Below are 22,602 nucleotides of genomic sequence, written 5' to 3'. Positions count from 1 at the left end.
CAGATGGGGATTGGGTGTGCCAAGCTTTAATTCTCTATGTGAATAATAAAACCCCATCCTCACAAGAAGAGATGGGTTATGCTCTCTGCTGGATCAAGTAATTAGCCCCCATGTTCCCCCTCAAAGAAGAAAGGAAAAAAGGGATAAAGTAAGAAAGGAAATCAGAAAGAGAAAGGGGAGGAAACAGCAAATGTAGAGGGCCAGAGAGGGAGAGAAGGAGTTAAGCTGCTGACCCTGAAGGCAGGGGAGAGCCAGCTGCACAACTGTGTGTGAGAGCTGGCTGCTAAAAACTTGATAAAAGCTGCTGCTGAATCTTTGTCGTTTCAGCAGAGCTGTCCGTCTTTGCAGACAGACAGGAGGGAGCCAGGGCACAGCACGGCTTGGCTCGTGCCCAGAGAGAGAAAGAGGAAGAAACTGAGTGTTAGGGAGAAAGGAAACAGGAGATGATAGAGAGAGAGAGAGATAGAAGAAGAAAAATGAACGAGAGAGAAACTGGAAAAGACAGAGATCAAAGAGAGACACAGAAGGTGAGACTGGGGAGAAAAATAATGTAAAAGGAAGGAAGAGTACAAGAGGAAGTGAGAGGATGTGGAGAGGTTGGCAGGGCTCGGGGAAGGTTCTGGAGGTTCAAGCAAGGAGGTGCAGGGAAAGGGTGCAATGAGGCCATTGAGGAGGAACAGAGCCCGGAAACTGGTGGATGCAAGTGACAAAGGGATGTGGAGGAGAGTTTAGGATCAGGCTGCTTGAGGAGTAGTGGGTTGCCTGCAAAGTAGCTGTTTGTCAGCAGGCGGTAGAAAGGATTCAGGTTATGGAAGGGTAAATGGATGAGATAACCATTAAAGGTTTTGTTGTTGTTTTCCTGAGAGGCTGTAAGTCCACTGGGGGCAGCTGTCAGTAAGGCTGTAGAAGGGTTGGGGAGCTACATAAGGAAGATAAAATAGAAACTGTGGAAGATTGATGGATGGAATGAAAAACCGATTGAGGAATTACTGAGGGAAGCTCAGAAGGTCTTTGTAAGGAGAGAGGAAGATAAGCAGAAACAAAAAGTGAAAATCATGGTTTCCACTGTGGAATAGGTAGTCAGAAAAAGGTTAGATCAAGATCTCCCTCGAAGGAGATGAGGGAATGATAGATTTCGACACAGGGAAGGAAGGGAAAGGCAGTGAAAAGCTCCTAAGACTATGAGTGGATGTTACAAGTGTGGAAAGCCTGGGCATTTTTAGAGAGAATGTCCTGGATGGAAGAAAAGGTGATCCCCCTCATGACCATTGATGAGGACTGGGGGAGTCAGGGGTTCCTTTTGAGTAGGTCCCACCAGGAACCCTTGATAAATTTGAAGGTGGGACCTGAGGGAGAAAAAGTGACATTTTGGGTTAATACTGGGGTGGCTCGCTCCTCCCTAATTCACCAACCAAGGGATACAGAACTCTCTAAGGGAAAATTAGCAGTATCAGGGGTAAGAGGGGAGGGATTTGAGGTTCTGATATTCAAGAAAATGTTAAATGGAACCACAACAAATTGAGGGGTCACTCTTACATGTTTCTGAAGCAAGAACTAACCTCCTGGGTAAAAACGTAGTTGTGAGGTTGGGTTTAGGATTAAGAATAGAGGAAGGACAAATAAAGGTAATGATGAGCCTCCTAATAGAGGAGAAGGAAAGAAAAATTAATCCCCTTGTGTGGGTTGGGGAAGGCAACAGGGGAGGGTTAAAAATCACACCCTTACAGATTGAACTAAAACAACCATGAGAAGTAGTTTGCAGGAGCAATATCCCATTGCTATTTAAGGGAGAAAAGACTTCCAACCAGTAATGGAGGGATTAATTAAAAATTGACTATTAGAACCTACGTATCACCATAAAATATTCCTTTGTGTCGCTTATCTGGGAGGGAGAGTTTCTGTGTCTGTTCCCAGACATCTTCCAGCTGCAGGCATCTTCCCCCAGTCTGCTTTTAGCTTCCCTTAGTGTGCCTAAAGGGAAAGGAATGTGCTTATTAAGGCCCAGTGTTTCTACTGGAGCCCACTGTATGAATGTGAAGTTTGGTGATAACCCAGGAGTCTTCCCCACTCCCTTTCTGTGCTTAAGCTGTTTATCTGTCATTTACAACCTCAACTTTCAGGCTGCCCTTTGTTAGAAGAGAGTGATTTCTTTGAACTGCATGAGCTTAGGAAGGAAGGTACCTCAAGGGTGTTAAGGGAAATTATGGAAGGTTTACAAATTAGAAGGGATTATCACACCCCTTGGCATCCCCCTTCCTCTGGAAAGGTAGAAAGAATAAATCAAACTCTCAAAAAGCATATCACCAAACTAATCATAGAAACTAAAATGCTTTGAACCAAATGTCTCCCATTAGCACTCATTAGGATTAGGACAGCCCCAAGAAAAGACTTGGGATTGTCCCTCTATGAGTTATTATATGGACTCGCATATTTGGACAGGGCTACAGATCTTCCTACTATGGAAACCAAGGACCAATTTTTAAGAAATTATATACTGGCCATATCCTCCACCCTGTCATCCCTCAGGTTAAAAGGACTTCTGACTCAAACTCTGCCTCTTAAATTCATGGTTCACCACTTCCAGCCTGGTGACTTGGTGCTGATTAAGACTTGGAAAGAAGACAAGCTCCACCTAAACTGGGAAGGTCCCTATTAAGTGTTCCTAACCACTGAGACCGCTGTGCAAACAGCTGAATGTGGTGGACTCACTATACTCCAGTCAAGGGACTGGTAAAAGAGACCCCAGAAGGGAGGGAAAAAGACCAGTGCATGGGTCACCTGAGGAACCCTTAAAGTTAACTCTGAGAAAAATGTAAAAAGAAAACATGAGGCCAGGCACAGTGGCTTATGCCTGTAATCCCAGCACTTTGGGAGGCCGAGGCGGGCGGATCACGAGGTCAGGAGTTCGAGACCAGCCTGACCAACATGGTGAAACCCCATCTCTACTAAAAATACAAAACATAGCTGGGCGTGGTAGCACTCACCTGTAATCCCAGCTACTCAGGAGGCTGAGGCAGGAGAATCGCTTGAACCTGGGAGGCAAAGGTTGCAGTGAGCTGAGATTGCACCATTGTACTCCAGCCTGGTGACAGGGTGGGACTCTGTCTCAAAAAAACCCAAACAAACAAACAAACAGAAAACATGGGCTAGTTCCATTTCTGGAAGTTAATATGGCTGGGATGGGCTGCTATACAAAGAAGAGAAGGCCAAAATGGAAACTGGCAGGGGCCTACTCCCTACCCAATCAGGTTAGTAATTAATGTAACGAAGACGGTAGCATCCCAGACTATAAGATTTGATGCCTGCCAGGTTTTACCTTGTGGGAATTTAGAAAATCAGAGATGGCTCTCACAGGCAGATAAATATCTTTGCCCTGAACCAGATACAAGGTACAGTAGGGTGTTACCCTGCCCCAGCTGGGATGACGTATGATGGACTACCCAATTTCAGGGTTGGACAGTAACATAGGGTAAGTAACTCTGAATTGGAGACCCTTGAAGAATAAACTACATGTGTCCAAGGGGCCAAGGTCTCCCTGCCAAATAACTGCCAGAATTTAGAATGCAATCCTATACTTATCACCATTGACAATCCAGCTGTTCTAAACCAAAAACCAAAAGTAGCATCTCAGGTATATGGGTTAGGGGCTGTCAACACAGGGAAAGTTTACCCCCTAGGGTGATTTGTTCCCAAACTAATCAAGAACTCAACCTCCCATTTGTCTGGGACTACTCCAAACCCAGACCCTAATAAACACTTTACCAAACAATGACCCTAAAAGGGTAAAAACAATTGAGGTAAAGGATTTAAGGCAAACCTTAGAAATTGAGACAGGGTACAGGGATGTGAATGCCTGGATCAAATGGGTCAACTTTTTGCTACAAGCCCTCAACAAGAGTAACTGTTACATGTGTTGCTGCAGGACGACCCCAGGCACAGGTGGTTCCGTTTCCCTTAGGATGGAATATTGATCCTAAAGGAATGCATTGCATGTTGGCTCTATGCCAGGATAAGGATGCTTGGGGAAATGAGACCTATAAGACTCTGTGATTGCTCTTTCCCACGTTGCAGAGGTCGGATCCCAGAGCAATCCCTTCATTCTCTGTAGGGAATATGAACCACTCCTCTTGCCTCTCTAGGCAGGGGGCAGTATTCAGTAAGCCTGTGGGAGAACTCCCAACTTGTACCTATATCCTAAACGTCACTGGTTAGTCAAGCAATGGCAATTATTCAGCTCTCCATATACCCCAAGCTGGTGATATTGTGGGAAAAGGAACTTCTATAACCTGTTACCATCCAATTGGACCGGAACTTGTGCTTTAGTCTAATTGGCCATTCCATTCACCCTGGCATTCCACAAGATACCTGAAAATACACATGGCCACCAAAACCAGAGAGATTTGACAAATTCTTTTGATCCCAATACATATGTTGACTTGATAGGAGTCCCTAGGGGGTCGCCTAATAAATTTAAGGCCCGAAACCAAATACCTACTGGGTTTGAGTCAGCACTCTTCTGGTGGTCAACTATTAAGATTGTGAATTGGATTAACTACATCTATTGTAATCAACAAAGATTCATCAGTTATACTTGGAATGCACTCAAAGGGATGGTAAGCCAGTTTGATGCCACCAGCTGAGTGGCCTGGGAAACAGGCTTGCGTTAAGACATGATACTAGCAGAAAAAGGAGACGTATGTGTTATGCTGGGTGGAAAATGTTGTACTTTCATTCCTAACAATACTGCCCCAGATGGCACCATCACAAAAACTTTATAAGGGCTGACAACTCTAGCCAGTGAACTGGCAGAGAATGCTGGAATTGATGACCCATTTACATGTTGGGTAGAAGGTTGGTTTGGAAAATGGAAAGGCATGGTAGCTTCAATCCTTAAATCTCTTATAATTGTGGCAGGAGTCTTAACAGCAGTGGGATGTTGTGCCTCTACGTCCATTCTTTGGGTTTGGATGCGTGAGTGTGTTTCTCACAAGAAGCAATACTTTCCAATTCATTTCATGAGGCTAGCAGAAGGTTCATACCAAACCTTGAGGAAGGTAACAACTGAAAATTACATGTTAATTTCATTTATGAATGTACATGCAAAAATCTTAAAGAAAATATTAGCACATTTAATTCAACAATTTATAACAAGTGTCATACATCATGAGCAATTTTGATTTATCCAGGAAGGCAATATTAGTTTAAATTTTTAAAAATTAATGTAATTAACACATAAGTGATGAGAGTTTAGTCATATAGGCAAATCTCAGTAAATGAAGGAAAAAGAGCTTTATATGATTTAACACAAATTCAAGAAAAAATATTAACAAAATATAAATTTCTTAACCTAATATAGAGCACTTATATCCCAAATAGACTTTTAAAAAAACTAACCAAACTTATTCTTAAATGTATATGAATTAACAAAGGGCCAACAAGAGCCAATTCCCAAAAAAAGAAAAAAAAGGTGAGCATATTTGCCCTACCAGTTATCAAGACTTACCACATAAAAATATATTATAATCAAAGCAGTACATTACTATGAAGGGAAAGACAAACTGACAAACTGAAGAGAAACAAAAGCAGATCTACACTTACATGCAGTAGTGATATTTTACAGGATGGTCATTGCAGATTAACAGGAGATGCTGCCAGAGCAATGGTTTATGAAAGTAGGAAAAAAAAAAAAGAGAAAGAATAAACTTGGACCTTGCCCAGCATCATCACTGATCATCCCTTCCTGCATTTACTCTTCTTTCACACACAAGTGTCTATCTCTGTGAACAGCAATACCATCCACCCAGTTACCCAAACTGTGAACTTGGAAACCCCCTTGCCTCCTTTTATTGCCCCAGCATCATATTCTATTAATCCTCAAGTCTGATAAACCTACTCTATCCCTCTTTTTACCCATCCTTTACTGCATTAACTCCTACGAAGGCTTCAGGACTCAGTTCTATGACATTTCTGAGTTAGGTTCTCCTCCCTATGTGGTCCCATCACACCTGTAACCTGTCGTCATACTTACACTATTGTAATTGCCAGTCTATATTTAGGTAAGTTTCTGAAGACCTGCTATAAATTATTCGAGGAAGAGTATCTTGTGTGGTTCATAGTTTTATTTTTGGTGCATAATATCATGCCTAGAATATATGGTAAACATTCAAAAATATTTGAAGAATACATGAATTAATCAATAAATGATTTTATGGATAAATTGATACAAACTGAATTAAAAAGTAACTGAATTCTACAACTGAAACGTGAAATGTGTTTATGTTCATTATTTTATTTTATTTTTGCAATATTCTCCAAATATATTCCTTTTTTGCCAATTAGATCTAGTTTAAGGTGGTATTATTTCAGGCTATTTTAAAACCACTTTTGTCACATTCCTTCTTCACACTGATTAAAGATATTTAACATGTAAGCAAAAGTATTCCAAGTTCATTCGGTTCTATTTTTTCGAGAATGATGTTTCTCTGAGAGGGAATAAATCATTCATCTTGCAACATAACACAGGTTGTTACAGAAATTTTAAAAATAATTATCTTTCCTCTTCAAATAAAACATTAATTAGAATTGTCTGGAGCATCTTAGGTACCCCAATACATTTTTGTTGAATGAATGAGAGATTAAAGGTATAAACTGTGTTTAATATTTTTAAAAATCTAGACATGACCCTTCTTCTGTATTTATTATTATGTTTTTGTCATTTCTTTCTGAAGGAGTTTGATTGGCCAATACAAGGACTGCTTGTTCCGAGCAGTCCTCCCATGAAGAAACCCATCTGTAAGACAACAGAGCCATATGCCCCTGTGCGACTCAGAGTTTTGCAGAATGGAGAGAAGAATAAAAACAGATCCGTTACTATCCTTGGTCCAGATATCTCACCTGGACGGAAAACGCAGTAAGAACAACTTGTTCATACTTATTAAATACACTTTCTAGTTTGTACAGATTTTGTGTTCTTAATTATGGATGTTTTTCTGTGGGAATTCTGTATTTATTTAGCAAAAGGGCTCCCATATTCATATTTGAAGATGAAAATAGAGACTAGGACTCATTTAGTTTCTTCATCAGGAATTTGATTTGAACTCTGCTAATTTAGAAGATAATGGTTTAGAAATGAGTAGCTCTGATTTTTTAAAAGTTCTATTTTTAAAAATTCTGTGATCAGTGTATATTTGGATTAGCATTTTTGTTTGAGTTTTATAAATGTGTCTTGAAATAATTGAACTCAACATCCTTAAATATAATTTTGTAACTCCTTATATAAGTTAAATTATACACAATTATGTTTAAATCTTTAGAATATTTAATGAACAAATACAGTTCTCAAAAGTATAACTTTATATAATTTATAGTCTTCCTTGGAATAACATTTTAAAAGTTTATCACCCTAGAAAAACATTTATTGACACTTTAGCTTACCTTATTATTGGGATAAAATTTTCCCAATAGCCAATATTTTCTCCAACATTGGAGAAAAATCACCTGCTGTCTTTTCATTTCATTTTATGACAAAAGGCATCATAGATCATTGAAGAGCTCTGATGTAAAGAATGAGTTAAACACATTGTTTCTCATATTATTAGCAGCCATATTACCTCTTGACCTTTCTTTTGAGATGTTTAGAATATTTGAGGCTGCTATAATAGTTTAATACTACTTTTTTCACATTGATTAAATATACTTCATACATCGCTGAACAATGAGTAACATTCAGATTGGATGACCACTGAACTGCCTGTAAAGATGATAAAGTAAAAAATTAAACTTCAAAGTAAAGTCAAGCCTGAAATTGAATTCTTTGACGCATACATTTCATAATTAGCTCATTCTGCTAGATGTAAAATGTGAGGGTAATGTCCTTAAAGTAGTGTATGACTCTTCAAAAGTAACACCCAAAGTTAACACAAAATTTCTGTTTCTTCCTACATTCATTATTTTTCTTGTTTTCTATCTTTAATTGTGGCTCAAAGTTACATACAGATATTATCACATCAATGTTTTAAAATGCATGGTTCAGTCAGGTAATCCGAACAAATTTTAAGAGATTGAAATGGTAAATTTGGACAACTGTTCTAGCAGAGAATATGTGAAATGCTGTGCTGCCCATATGCTATGTTCATGGAACAGTATGTCCCAGTTCATCACGTATTCAGGTATTAGAGTTACTTGTTCACCATATGAATTAATTACTCCCAAATAATTAAAATACACTGGCATACACTTAACACTAAAACTCTACTACATATAGTTTAATTTCTCTGCTGATTCAGAAAGTGTTCTATAATATCATCAATAGAATTCACCCACCCCTAGAGCTGGATGTAAGTACTGGTTCACAGAAGGTTTAAATGGAAGGTCTTGGGTTACATTGCAGGGTGGCTGGTTGTCCAGCTTCAGAGAGCTCCATTCACATGGTTATCTGTATGAATGGCATCCTAGAGTTGTGCCAGGCAGAAGCCCTGCTGTGCCTTGGTGTATTTAATAAATACAAGTTACACATCTTCCAGAAGAAATAACTTCTAGTGACATATATTACTTGCATTAACCTGAAATTTATTTATAAGAAGGAGTGTTGGGCTGTTTAGTGTCTCTACAAGCAAAATCATGCTGGAAGTATGAAATATAGATATACTTTAACCAAATCTTGCCCTAGTAACATGCTGTCCTTTAGCTATTTAATAATTTACTGGAGGTAGTTTTGAGGAGTTTTTGTTGTTGTTATTGGTTCTTTCATCTACAAAGCCTAAGGAAAATCAAATAGTATTTGTTCATTACTTAGTCGGTTATTACTCTAGTGAGTGACAAGATCTTGTCAATTAGTCTTAATAGTGACTGTCGAGTTTATATAAATTAAGACCTTCATAATTTTTCTTGTGTCACAGGCAAATTTTGTCTCTCAGAAATGTAAGTTAAACAAGAAAAATTTTATAAGTTACATTTAAGGAATTTTAAGAGGAAAGGCCCCAGATGAGGCTTTGAAGTAAATTTTATATTTTAGATGATTTCAATATATATATTACTTATTAGTAAGTTATGATCTCTGAACTCACTTGAGCTCCTTAGTAGAGCTTGTAAGTCCTTTTATGACCTATCCCTGCATATTTCTCTAGCTCTATTTCCTATCAACACTCCCCCAATTCCCACTCTCAAACCACCCACCACCACTTTCCAACACTTCCTATGTGCTTAAATAATAAAAGTCTTTTGAGAATGAGTTTAGATTTCCTTTCTAGATGTTGACCCTGAATGAGACACTCTCTCCTCTCGAGTTAGTTGTGTCTACTGTGTATTCCACTACTCCAGCCCTGGGCCTTCCACCAGTACAGCACCTATCATTCAGTTTCATGATTATCTGCTTATGTTCCATCCATGAGATAGAGAACAGGGATGCTTCATTCATAGCAGATGTACAATCTGCTATGTTATGATCATAGATCATTGTGTTCTGATGAATCAAGTATTAAGGTACTAGGGAGTCACTTTGTTAGCCACATGATTAAGGGCCTACATAGGCCTTAAATTAGTGACTACTGAACGAATGAATGGTTAGTTATATTTGATCACCATTTGTAATGAAAGAACAATTAATTATAAAGTATTTGATAACTATTTCATTTAATAAAATATAGATTCTAAAAAATGCACAAAATAGTTTCCTAACTTAAAACTTTGAGCAGATGTATATTCAAATTAAGCATCTTTTTCTATGATCATCATTATTTATTTTTCAGTCTAAAAATTTTAAATTTGGGGTTAATAATAAGACAATATATGAATAAAAAATTACAGGTAAAATGAATGCAATCTCTGAATTTTCTTCAAAGTTGAAAAATTTATATTTCATAGTGTTCAGCATTATTAGAAGAGAAATAAAATAGTGAAAATATATTGTTTTACAAAATTACTCATAGTATAAATATTTATGTAATAACATGTCATGTTATGTAATATTTAAAATGAAGTTAAATATTTCATTGTGATAGTTTTTGAAACTGTATATTTTAAAGAAAGAGATTACTTTAGGGCAAATCATGATAAATTAAGACCTTATTTAATACAATGTTTTTCCCCGAAATGTCAAGGTCTATCAAATTCCCCTAGCTTTCTGAATGGCCAACTCTGTAAATATAAATTAATCTCATTTAAAAAACATATTTCACAATTTATAGCAACTTTCTTTGGTTTATATTTGCTTGAATTAAGAGTGGCGTAGTTAAATTTTTATATTTTACCTATTATAAACCAGTTTTTAAAACATGAATGTCTTAGTCTGTTTTGTGTTACTATAAAGAAATACCTGAGGCTGGTTAATTTAGAAAGTAAAAAAGTTTATGTGGTTCATGATTCTGATGGCTGGAAAGTTCAAGATTGGGCATCTGCATCTGGTGAGGGCTTCAGGCAGCTTCCACTCATGGCAGAAGGTGAAGAGGAGCCGGCAAATGCAGAGACTACATAGAGGAGAAGAAGTAAGAGAGAGGGGGAAGGTGCCAGCATCTTTTTAACAATCAGCTCTGAAATAACTAATAGAATGAGAATTCACTCATTTCCAAGGGGGGGCATTAATCTATTTATGAGGGATCTTCTATCATGACTCAAACACCTCTCATTAGGCCTCATCTCCATCATTGGAGATCAAATTTCAATATGAGGTTTGCAGAGGACAAACATCTAAACCATACCACTAACGTATATTATGTTTATGAAATATGTTGTAATTTTTTTTAATCAGTATTTTTTTACCAAATCAAGAATTAGATCACTGCTGAAAGGTTGGAGCACTTGGTATGAACTTTTTTGCAAAGTATGCCTTGTCAAATATGAGGGAATAGTTTTATTGAGTTTAAGGAAAATTATGCTATCTTTGGTTATTTAATAATTCACTCTAGACAATTTTGAGGTTCTCTTTGTTGTTGTTGATTTTTCCATGTACAAAACTGAGGTATGATCTAATAGTATAATAAGTTCCATTTTAGAATAATAGATACAGAACTTTTGTTGTTGTTGGTACCTTCTACTTTCTGTAAAGTTGCTGGCAACATAGAATATTGGAAAGACCACTGGATTAGGAGGCAAAGGAATTGATTTTAACCCCAGCATTGCCACTAACTAGCTGGAAGTCTTCAGCAAAGCCCTGTCCTTCTCCAAGGCTTGTTTTCCTCAACTGTTAACAGTCATCTGTTGTATTTATATTATGTAACATCAACCGGTGTAGGATGTTCTGCTGGAGGTTTTTGGTGTTTTTCTTTCTTCTTCTTTTCTTTTTTCTTTTCTTTCTTTCTTTTTTTCTTTTTTTTAGAACAAGGCATTGCTTGCTCTCAAGGAACTCCCAACTAACTTTTGGGGAAGAAAATTTGCTTAGTGAAACAATCAGAAAGCCACATGCAGCAGTATTTAACCATACAGAATTGAAAATAATCAAGGGATCATTACATGATGATATATTTCCTGGTTTATATATAACCAGGAAAGAGAGAGAACATTGTAAGGGGCAGCTGTCGGAGAAGGCCACAGGGAGAAGAAAGAAAATGAGACAAAAATCCAAAGCAAGAAGATAAAGAAAAGGAGAAAGCACATGACCATAGCTTCTCAAAGGTTTTGTTACGGTTTGGAAAGAACTGAAAGAGTGTAGAACAGCTCCTGGGGTGGGGTGTCCTGGCAAGTGATTAGCTTAAGAGCTCCACTGCTGTGGAGCTGTAGCTGACTGTGGATCTGGGAGGCATAGCTCCTTTCTTTAAAAATAGGGATCTTGCTATGTTGCCCAGGCTGATCTTGAACTCCTGGCCTCAAGTGGTCCTCCTATCTTGACCTCCCCAAGTGCTGGGATTACTGGCATGGACCACCATACCCAGCCTGTTTTATTTACTTCTAAGCTAACCTTAGAGAAATGGAGGGCCTGATTATCTGTTTAATTGCTTTATCCCATTGAGGATATAAAATTTAGAAACATTCTTTATAAAGCTATGTCTTGATGATGAGCATAAAGTCAACTTTATGTAATTTTGTATTAGAATGTAAAGATTATATTCTAACACAAAATATATTTAGCAAGAATCTTCTACTTCTTCCATAGGCGGGATATCCTCACAGTATTGTTTAGAAAATGCTCCATCAGTCTCCTGTAGCTCTACTTTTTCCTCACAATTCCATCTATTTACATCTGTCCTAAAGCTTGCTGTCTAGGCTCCAGCCTCTCCCACCTCCAGCCCATTTTCCACCTTTCTGACAGTTAACTTTCGGAAAAGCAGACCTGATAACACCACATATCTGCTCTAATGCCTTCAATGGCTTTCTGCTGCTTATGGGCTAGAAGGCAGGTTCCTCAGTCTAGAATCCTAAGTACTTTCAGTTGGTTTCTGTTTTCTTTTTCAGTTTCATCTGGTCCATACCCTCCTCATGTCCATACACTCAGCTCCAGTCTAGCGCTTTTTGATGAAATCCTGTTTATCCTTTAAAACCCAACCCAAATGCCACTCCCTTAGATAAGGCTTCTCTGGAAAAATTGTTTTCCCCTCTGTTCTCACAGCACGCTGGGCAGGTGCCTATGGCAGCACCTACGACTTCATATTACACTTCAATTGCTCACCTTTCTCTACCCTGACCAGACTCGGAGCTCCTCAGGGAACTACAAAACTGTCATCATCTCAATATCCACAGGGCTTGTCCGGTGCTTGTTTGGGAAGGCAGGGGGTTGTGGGAGTGGGAAATCAGTGTTCAGTGTTTAACCAGGCTAAAAACGTCTGTTTCAAAGGTAGTTGAAACAGACTACCCTCTGGTGGAGGGAGCTGAGGAACTTGGTGACAAATTAGACTTTGACAACCTTGGAGAAAGAACAAGACTACATCAGAAAAAGCCAAGGAAAAATTTTTTTAGGTAGGAGAAAGAACGCAGGCACAGAAATAGAAAAGTGTGGGGCATACCAAGGAACTAAAAGTCAATAGCAGTGTGTCTAGCTATTTATTGGTCATGTCTGGGACTGTGCTAAGAGCTCTTTTCAAAATCAACCTTTAATCTTCACAGAAACCCTGGAAGGTAAGAAATCTAGCCTTAGACAGGTTAAATAATTTGCCCAAGTGCCACAATTTGGAGAGGAAAATGAGACTCAAATGGGTCTGATGGGCCCCAGAGTCCAGCTCATGACTAACAGTCCTGCAGAGAGAGTTGTCATTATGGATTCAGGCCCCAGATTTCTTTTATTTTCTCTCTTTGCTGCTGGAAGCTTTCTGTATGCAAGGTCAATTTTTGTGTCTTTTATTACAGGTGCACTGAGATTTTAAATTTACCTTCTGCAGCTCGGAGATTGTACAATGAAAAGGGGAAGGAAATATTTGCCTTAAAAGACCTGCAAAGAGATGAACTGGTAAAGACATGGATTTGAAACTGGCAATATTAATTTATTAATACCCCATCCAAGAAAGAATCCCCTTAAATATAAGTCTTCAAATGCTTACCATTTTAATTCTTATTTTCTCTCAGAATTATCCTAACTGAGCAAACATCAGAAAGTAATACTAACAGCTAACATTATTCAGAGCTTCCTATATGTCTGGCATGGTTTTCAGAGTGGTATATAAATTAAACTTTTTTTTTTTTTTTGAGATGGAGTTTCACTCTGATACCCAGGCTGGAGTGCAGTGGCGCAGTCTTGGCTCACTGCAACCTCTGCCTCCCATGCTCAAGCAATTCTTCCACCTCAGCCTCCAGAGTAGCTGGGATTATAGGCATGTGCCACTATGCCTAGCTGATTTTTTGTATTTTCGGTAGAGATGGATTTCAACATGTTGCTCAGGCTGGTCTCACACTCCTGAGCTCAGGTGATCCACCTGCCTCAGCCTCCCAAAGTGGTGGGATTACAGGTGTGGGCCACCGCGCCCGGCCGAATTAATCTACTTAATGTTCATCATGATCCTAGACTCTAGAAATTAAGGAAGAAACTGGAGAAGGCCAAATTGTTAATCCTTTGTAATTTCTATCTCCTGCTCTGAAGGAGGTAAATTCTCTACTCTTTTTGAGACCTTCAAAATGTAGTTGTTTAATGGTTTTTTACTAAATGGTAATTTCACTTTTTCAGGACAAAATTATGTCTACTTTTTTCATACACTCTATTTGGTGACTGGAGAAGGCTGAAAAGTGGAAGGACTTTAGCAGCCCAGCCTTCCCCCTCATTTATAGAATTTGAGGCATTGGTTTGAAAAATTAAAAAAAAAGATACCTTCCTTGATTGATGCCTACAATTCTTTGAACAGAGAACAAAGCTTCTACCATTTCGTCAGAACTCAACTGAGGCCCTGAACCTAAATACTGGAGAGAGTCTTAAACAGAAGTATCAATGGCCAACATCAGAGGCAGAATCGCAGGGTGGAGAGTCTGTTGTTCTCAGAGACTGCTAGATCTCATTTTGAATCCTAATGCCATCTCTCCAAGTGTTTTGTTTGTTTGCTTTTAGTGTTTTTGTTTGGTCTGCTGTGCTATTCACTGTGGGTTTTTTAGAGAATGAATTTAAGGTAGATTACATTAAATCATACAATACAAAAAGTTAATTTAATGGTAAGTATAGATGAGGCCACCATGGCAAAGCAGGTATGAGTGGAAGGAGGATAAGATGGAGCCAGGAGTGATTGTATATTTGCTAGAAACTAATCTGTCACTGCTCTGAAGAGTAACATGAAGATGGAAACATAAACAGTTAGTTACATGATTAAATATGTCCAAAAGAGAAAAAGAAATCCGTTGTTCAAAATAAGAAATTTTTGCCTGGGTGCAGTGGCTCATACCTGTAATCCCAGCACTTTGGGAGGCCGAGGTGGGTGGATCACCTGAGCTTAAGAGTTCAAGACTACCCTGAGCAACGTGGCGAAACCCTGCCTCTACTAGAATACAAAAAATTAGCTGGGCATGGTGGCAGGTGCCTGTAATCCCAGCTACTCAGGAGGCTGAGGCACGAGAATCACGAGCCCTGGAGGCAGAGGTTGCAGTGAGCCGAAAGCATGCCACTGCACTCCAGCTTGGGCTACAGAGTGAGACTCCATCTCAAATAATAATAATAATTATTATTATTATTATTTAAAGTTTCCCCTGGGTCTTCATACACAAAATGTCGAATGTTTGTAATAATGACTTTGCAATGATCAGAAAAGGCAGCACTGAGGTTCTCTTTCTTCTTACTGAGCCTTTCTCAATATATCACTTTCTTTTCTCATCTTTAAAGAAATATTTATCCATTTAAGGACATTTAAGAAATACATATAAGCAAAAAAAAAAAAAAAAGGAGAAGAGGAAAAGTATTATCCATAATCTTGTCACCTGGCAATAGCCACATTGACATTTTGGTGTTTGTACTACAAATTCATTTATACCAGGGGTCATTAAATGTTTTCTGTAAAGAATGAGATAGTAGATATTGTAGGTTTTGTGGGCCATATGGTGCCTGCTGTGCATCAGCTCTGCTCCTGATGCATGAAAGCAGCCATAGACAACGTGTAAATGAATGGGAATAGCTGTGTTCTAATAAAACTCTACTCACAAAAACAGGCAGGGGACCAGATTTGGGTTTTAGGGATAGTTCGCCAATCTCTAATTTTGCCAATCTGTAATTTACTCCTTCCTTCCTTCTTTCCTACCTTCCTCCGTCTCTCCCTCCCTCCCTCCCTTGCTCCCTTCTTTCCCACCTCCTTCCCTCCCTCACTCCCTTCCTCTTTTCTTCCTTCCTTCCCTCTTCTTCTTAAACAATTATTTTTTAAACTTTAATTTTGAAATAATTATAGATTCACAGGATGTTGCAAAAATAATATGGTAATATACAAAGATAGTATTTTCACTTAATACAAAACTCTTGAAATTCATCAAAGTTGTTGCCTTTATCAGCAGTTTGATTTTTTTGAAAGTACTGAGTGGTACACAGTTTTCTTTAATCATTCACCTATTATATTAATAGGACATTTTGATTTTTTTAATTGTTTCCAGTTTAGATTATTACAGATAATGCTGCTGTGACAATTATATACAGGATAAGAGATGCTTTGTTTGATAGGTGTATGTTTCATGTGGAGAACTCTGGATCAATCCTGACCTGTCCATTGCTCAGCAAAAGAAACAAATATTCCTGAGGAACCTAGAATCAGACATTGCCAAAATTCAAATCTTCTGCAGCACACATAAAATAGAAGGTAAGCATTGGAATTATTTACCTTAATATATTCAGCCAAAATGAAATGCTTGATGATATTGCTTTTTAAAAAGTCAAAGTTTGTTTAAACAAGTAATATTTCACCTCTGCATCTTGCTGTTTAACTCTTTAAACTAAATTATGTGTTTGACAGGGTTGAGTATTTTAGTTCACACTACAGTTTGAATGTGCAAAGAGAACATCATCTTTTTATTTTGTCATTAACAGATCTGACCTTCTTTGTGAGCCTTATGCATTCTCTAATCATGTTTACATTTTGTTCCATCCATTAATTTAATTAGTCCCTTTAGGGAGAGCTTTCAGATTTCTCTATCTCCAGAATCTCACGTTAAGTTCCACTCTAAGATAGAAAAAAAGCACTTGGGTTGCAGATCTTCTTGCTTCCTGGGCTCTACTGTCTGAAGTCGATGACTGGAGTGACTTATGGTTCCTTCTGTTGGTTCAGACGATACTCTGGGTGGGTGTGCTACCTCCCTGATTCAGCCTTCTCTCTGCTTCCTGTGGCCCTCTGGAGCCTGACTATGACTGAGTGGTCATCTCATCACCTCTGCAGTCCTTGCTACAGAGCCACCTCACCCCTGCTTGGCATCCACTTTTGGAAAGCTCCCCAAAAAGATTCTCAGCAACTCCTGGGTCTTAGCTGCACCTCCCAGAAACCAGATCCCAGTTCACGTGGCTGGCTGTGCCTCAGATTGGAGTAGCAAGGGTAGCTCAAAAGGGGACAATGGGCAGTGTCCTCACTGTTTCCCCAGTTTAACTAAGATACCCAAAGTGAAGCCTGTAGAGAGAATCAAGACATGCTGTGCTAGTTTTCTGGCTTTCTCTGTCTTGTGCCCCAGATCCCCTCTGGCCCAGGAGTGATGGTTTTTCTCCAGGTCAATCCTGAAGTTAAACTCTTGATACAGTAAGTGGGAGCTACAGGCTTTTGGAGAAACCATAGATCATGACTGTGTCATCCTGACTTCCACGTTCGATGGCAGTATGCTGTTTGAATGTCAAAAACTATCTTTGGACTTTTGCTTTTCTTTTATAAAAGTTCTAATTTCCTCATGATCTTCCTCCTTCCATTAAGTTTTCTCCAGGAACCAGGACAAAAGTCCATATAGAGAAAAGAAAAAGAAAAAAAATTAGTATAATTTAAAACATTGCCCTATTATATATATTGAACACCGTGTAGTAAAACTTTGCATGTGTCATTCAAGGCTTTCTCTGGGACTGGGACTGGGACTTCCACTGATGAGTTTTGGATCCCAGAGAATGATCTAGAAACATATATCTAAATAATGTAGCCCATTTGAATAATTACGATATATGATAATTAACTGATCTTTGGAAAGACCAATTTTTAGTATTTTTGACTAAGAATATCTTGAGAGTAAAGAATCTATAAAAATTAAAATTAAATTCAACTGAGTTTAATAAGTAACCTATGAATAGACCAAATAGATGGAATTATTTTGCATTTGTATTTTAGTGTGTGTTTTTAAATTCCTGATGCTCTGCAATTGTAAGTAATATGTCTTTGCAATTTGTGAATTTCTGCTCAGCTCTTGTTTTAGAAGTCCAAAGTGACATTGTATCTGGAAGCAAGCTTGCTGTGCATAAACCTGTAGCAATTTTTGGAGAAGAGAAGCAAGTTACAGAACCGGAAGAAAAGCAAATGCAAGAAGATCCTCTAACAACGGAAAATGCTTCCAGTGAAATTCTGTAAGTAATCAGTGTAGCCTGAAAAGCTACCTGGCTGCTTTTTGAACTCAGCTCATTAGCCCGATAACAGCACAGAGCCCATGCAGGGAGCTCATGCCAAGTTTGTGAAACTAATGGCAGCTGAAGAGCTAGTATTTAATTAGTTTTCCGGCAAAATGATACAACTACAGCTTCGATGTTCAACCATCACAGTGATCTATTTTCAGTAATATTGTTACAATGTTATTATTTTTAAGAGGCTAGAATTTTAGGATAGTAGGCATTTATTTGAGGAATTCATCAAATTTTGTTTCCATAATCATTGACTTCAGGATAAATTAAACTTCTTCCCTAAGTTCAAGTTGACACATGTTAATATACAGTTATCTTTCTGGATCATTGAAATAGCTTTCTGATTTCTCTCTATTGCCGTAATATCTTCCTTCCAATTCCCCTCTAAGTTAAACTGTAGACAATTAACTTTCTAATGTACAATCCTTTTCACATAGTTTTTTAAGGGTACCTATTGCAGACAGAAAAACCTATTCATCTGGAATCCCAAGGCCTTCTGACCCTGGTTCATGCCTGTCATTGACCCTCATTTGCATTCCCATGCCCACTGTCTCTTTCTGCCACATGAATTCCAACCTCCAGCTCAGCAACGACAAGCTGTCGCCTGCATATTGCACATTCTGTTTATGTTCTGTTGCAGACCTCTGAGCCACATATGAATTTCTCTCCACTGCAGTGCCTTTACTTGCCCCGTACTTATCTGTAGAATGATACTTTAGCATTGAAGTCAATTACAGCAATGACTGTACGTGGCAATGTGCTTGTCAGTCCCTCTCCCCCTTGCCTACCCCTCCCTCTACCAGCCTGGGAACGTTGAGGGCAAAGATTCTGTCACATGGGTTCTAATTATCATTTACTGAATAAATGAATGAAAGATTGAATGTGTTTCCAAATTATAAAACCAAAAATACCTGGCCAATTACCTCTGCAATAATTGTGAAACTAATTTATATATCATTGTTATTAATTGTTTCTATCCTCAATTATAAGAATATGAACGTTTATTTTAGGAACCAAACTTCCTCATTTGGATGGGTGATTCAGTTGGTCCTATGACTGACACTAACAAAGGCACCAGAAGGCATTTTTCAGAGAGAATGATTGGTCCTAGATGGCATCTTTCTCAACAGTCAGGGAATTGACCACGAACTTTCACATCCCCTTCTAAAGAATGTGTCATCTAGCCTCTTAGTCTGCACTTGGAAAAAAATAAACAGAAAGTAAGAAAAAAGAAACATTTTTGAGAGCAAAGATCGTCATTGTTCTGAATCAGAGATTTCATGAAGGCCTGGAGTCCTTGAGGTTAAAAGTGATTGGGTTCTCTCAGAGTACAATGCAGGCATCTACTGCATATTCCAAGCAGGCTCTTTTGCTCAAGCCTCTTCTTGAATACTCCTAATAACAGAGAGATCACTGTTTTCAAGGAGGCCCATTCTAACATTTAAATAATTATTTAGACCATCTCCATCTTATTATTCCATATGTTTCTCTGTACTATGCCCTATACCTCTTCTACTTGGCAGCCCTTAAACTATTGGAAATATTTTTTAATATACAGGGTTATCTATTTTCCAGGCTGTCACTAGTCATTTGAACCATTTCTGATGACATGATCCTGAAATAATCCTAAATCATCTAATATCAGGAAGTCACTGTAAGATTTTTCCCAGACTTTCTTAAATGTGCTTGTTTGGAGTTTTTTGCATATTTGAAAAATGGGATGATTTAAGGAGGGACATGCATAAAGCCAGCAGCTAGAACATCAATCTAGAAGGATCCTTTTTGATTGCTTTTTTATCATAAAGGTGTCCGGCACAAACAATAAGAAAAATGGAAAAGAAATTCTAGTAGCACTTGCCTACTCTGTGCTTTGCAGGAAAAAAAGATTTTTGGAACACAGAGAGTGGGGGAAACTTTCTCATTTCCTCACTGAATCACAGGTACCTGCCCACCTCTTCAGCCTTGTCTAGAACTACCATCCCCTCACTCACTGCATACCTGTCACACCACTGTCTTTCTGTTCTTCAAGTGGGCTAACCATAATCTTGCTTCATAGCCTTTTCATTTGTTCTTTTCTCTGCTTGGAATGCTCTCCCTCTAGATCCTTACATGGCTGGCCCCTTTCTATTGTCTTTGTCTCAATTCAAACATCACCTCTCAGAGAAACCTTCTTTGACTCCATTGCTAACGTAAACCTTACCCCATCCCAGTCAATTTCCATTACAATATCCTATTTTATTCAACTTATGGCATTTATCTTGTTTATTCATTTACTTGTCTATTTAATCTCTCCTCTTCCCACTAGAATGTAAACTCCGTGAGCACTGATAACTTACCTGTCTTGTAGATGTTCAATAAATATTGATTAAAGGAGTGAATAACTAACGAATGGTTTGTTCTATGAATGAACAAATTAATAAAGCAAGATGGACTGAAAAATGACTGTTCTAAAACTGACTTGACTATACCTCATTTGCCAGGAAGTTCAAGAGCTGATAGAGAAATTCTGAGTAAGAAAGTTAAACATCTGGATTTGGGTGAAGAATCTTGTTTGCATCCTGCTAACTTTGTTAAAACTAAGAATGACTTTTTTTTTTTTCCTTTTCCCCAAAGAAATGGAATTGATGAGAAAGCTGTGCGTTTTATTTTTAACACAAGATGGCGCTGTTGTTTTTTTTAACTGTAAAGGGAGAGGTTTGCCTTCAGAAGCCGCTTGTGCTGCCTGTAGTTCTGAATGAGGCAGTGATTACCCACCAGTTTCATATCCACATGTAATACTTCTATTACATTTGAAAAGAGTACGGTCAGCTCTGCTAGCACAGGAATTGTCCCTGAAGATTTTGGTAATTTAATAATGCTTGTAGTTACATCAAATTATGACAAGCACCTTGGTGATCAGTCTGTCCCAGAGAACTTTATTTACAGGTACGCATACTTAGAGTGCTGAAATAGGCTTGCTGCTTTGCCTGTATATTTATCCTTCCTCAGTCAAGCAGTCCTCATATCACAATCCCACTGAAGGCAAATGTGCTCTCAACAGTGGCCTGGAACTTTATATATACAGATCTATATGGCGGCTACTGATCCCCTTTATATCTTCATTTTAGTAAGAAGCCAGAAGGCTGACTCAATTATTCAAACTATGACTATTTACTCTGTTTAGTATATTATTCTCTATCAAAAGCTGGCTCATATGTGCAGATGCTATTTGAGTTTCTCTAGATTTCTCTGTGGAGAAATCTTGGAAAAGTTAAGGTTTCTTAACCTTGTCTAATGAGTAAACTTTACAAAACCGGGTAATCTAGGCTGTACTGTTCCAGTCAGAATTATGACCCAATTATGGGGTAGAGAGAGGGAGTCTCATTACATGTTCATTGTGAATTTCTCAAACTACTGAGTAGTCAATCTTTATGATTTTTGAAATACAATACATAGTCCCATTTTTTTCTGAGTAAACATGACAAAGATGAATGCTGTTTATTATGTGATTGAGGAATTTTATTTGTAGCCTTATATTAAAAGATCTAAATGATGTATTAGTGAGATGTGAATTTCCAGTATTAGGCACCCTTATGGAAATAAGATTTATAGATCCACCAACATCCTGTGGAATATGATCAGACTACACCTCAGAAAAAAATTCTGTGAACACGAATGAGATTTCTTAGACTTATGTTTGCTTCTGAACCTTGATAGAGATTCACACGTAAGAGCTCATCTTCGAATGAAGGCTTGTCACACACTTCCCAGGTATGCCTGGCAGGAAACTTCACATGACTTTGATGAGGATGACAGTCTTCCAAAGAAAACGGAAAAAGGGCTCTTTGAAAATGTGGAACCACAGAAGAAACACAGGTAAAAAGTTGCAAAGGATTCCTCTTAAAGATTTCTGTCTAGTGTTAGTTTTCTCACCTTGGGACACATATATTCCCAAGAGTTTTCACTGCTGTTAGCTGCTGTTTCTATCAACATGCACATTTTTGTCTTATGTTTTTGATTAAAATATTTACAAAATTTTGCGGGAAGGTCCTTTACTCTTTGGTTTATTTTGTTCAGTGTATAATATCTTACTCATTTGTGTGTTTTTTTCTATTAAACAGTATGCTTATCCACCTTTGCCTCCTGACAACTTAGCACAGAGCCTATATATTTGTTGAATGAATGTGTGAGTGAACTTCTGAATAAGCATTTAAGATGCCCTAATGTTTTTAAGAAATTAAGAAAATGCAGTTTCTTCCTTTTTAGTTTAATGTTTTTTGTCAATGTCCAATGAAATGACAGGAATATATAGTACTTTGTATTATTTCATAATCTTTAGACATTTACTTGACATTACAGCAGTCACTGGAACACATGAATTAAACATTTTTGACACTTCAACATTTAGCACTAGGCCATGCACGTAGTAGGGGCTTAATAGATGTTTATAGATTAATTTAATTGACAATGTGTTGTGATATGTAATATGTTACTTCTGCTTAATGTAAGGTCCTTAAGACAGTCATTTAAATTATTAGTGCATCATTATTTTATGATATGCTATGACTTGTTAGAGGTGAGTTAAAAACTTGGAGAATGGTGTTCTGTTTCCAGGGATACTGTAGATAGAGGAAAGAAACAATCATAGTTTGAATAGAATTCCTTTA

At 38.0% G+C, this 22,602-nt stretch overlaps 1 protein-coding gene and 1 long non-coding RNA gene across 17 annotated transcripts in view; one reads left to right on the top strand and one right to left on the bottom strand.

The window, feature by feature from the left end:
- The window catches only part of DCDC1 (doublecortin domain containing 1), a 506,137-nt gene that overhangs the window by 431,059 nt on the left and 52,476 nt on the right, over window positions 1-22,602 (top strand). For 13 of the 16 annotated variants that reach the window (XM_024448478.2, XM_024448476.2, XM_024448477.2 and 10 more), the window contains 5 exons: window positions 6,729-6,910; window positions 13,273-13,372; window positions 16,043-16,178; window positions 17,746-17,905; window positions 21,653-21,811. In XM_024448478.2, coding sequence (XP_024304246.1) covers window positions 6,729-6,910; window positions 13,273-13,372; window positions 16,043-16,178; window positions 17,746-17,905; window positions 21,653-21,811 — 737 coding nt within the window. Of the gene's footprint in view, window positions 1-6,728; window positions 6,966-13,272; window positions 13,373-16,042; window positions 16,179-17,745; window positions 17,906-21,652; window positions 21,812-22,602 lie in introns of those variants that run through there. The other 3 variants (XM_024448475.2, NM_001387275.1, XM_024448484.2) reach the window with 3 other exon arrangements.
- LOC105376611 (uncharacterized) overlaps window positions 16,367-22,602 on the bottom strand; it is a 32,196-nt gene continuing 25,960 nt past the window's right edge. The window contains exon 5 of the long non-coding RNA XR_007062642.1: window positions 16,367-17,274. This is a non-coding gene — a long non-coding RNA (uncharacterized LOC105376611). The remainder of the gene's footprint in view (window positions 17,275-22,602) is intronic.

This window comes from Homo sapiens, chromosome 11, assembly GCF_000001405.40.
Source record: "Homo sapiens chromosome 11, GRCh38.p14 Primary Assembly".
In the NCBI taxonomy this organism is placed as follows: domain Eukaryota; kingdom Metazoa; phylum Chordata; class Mammalia; order Primates; family Hominidae; genus Homo; species Homo sapiens.
This window is presented reverse-complemented; position numbering and strand designations above follow the sequence as displayed.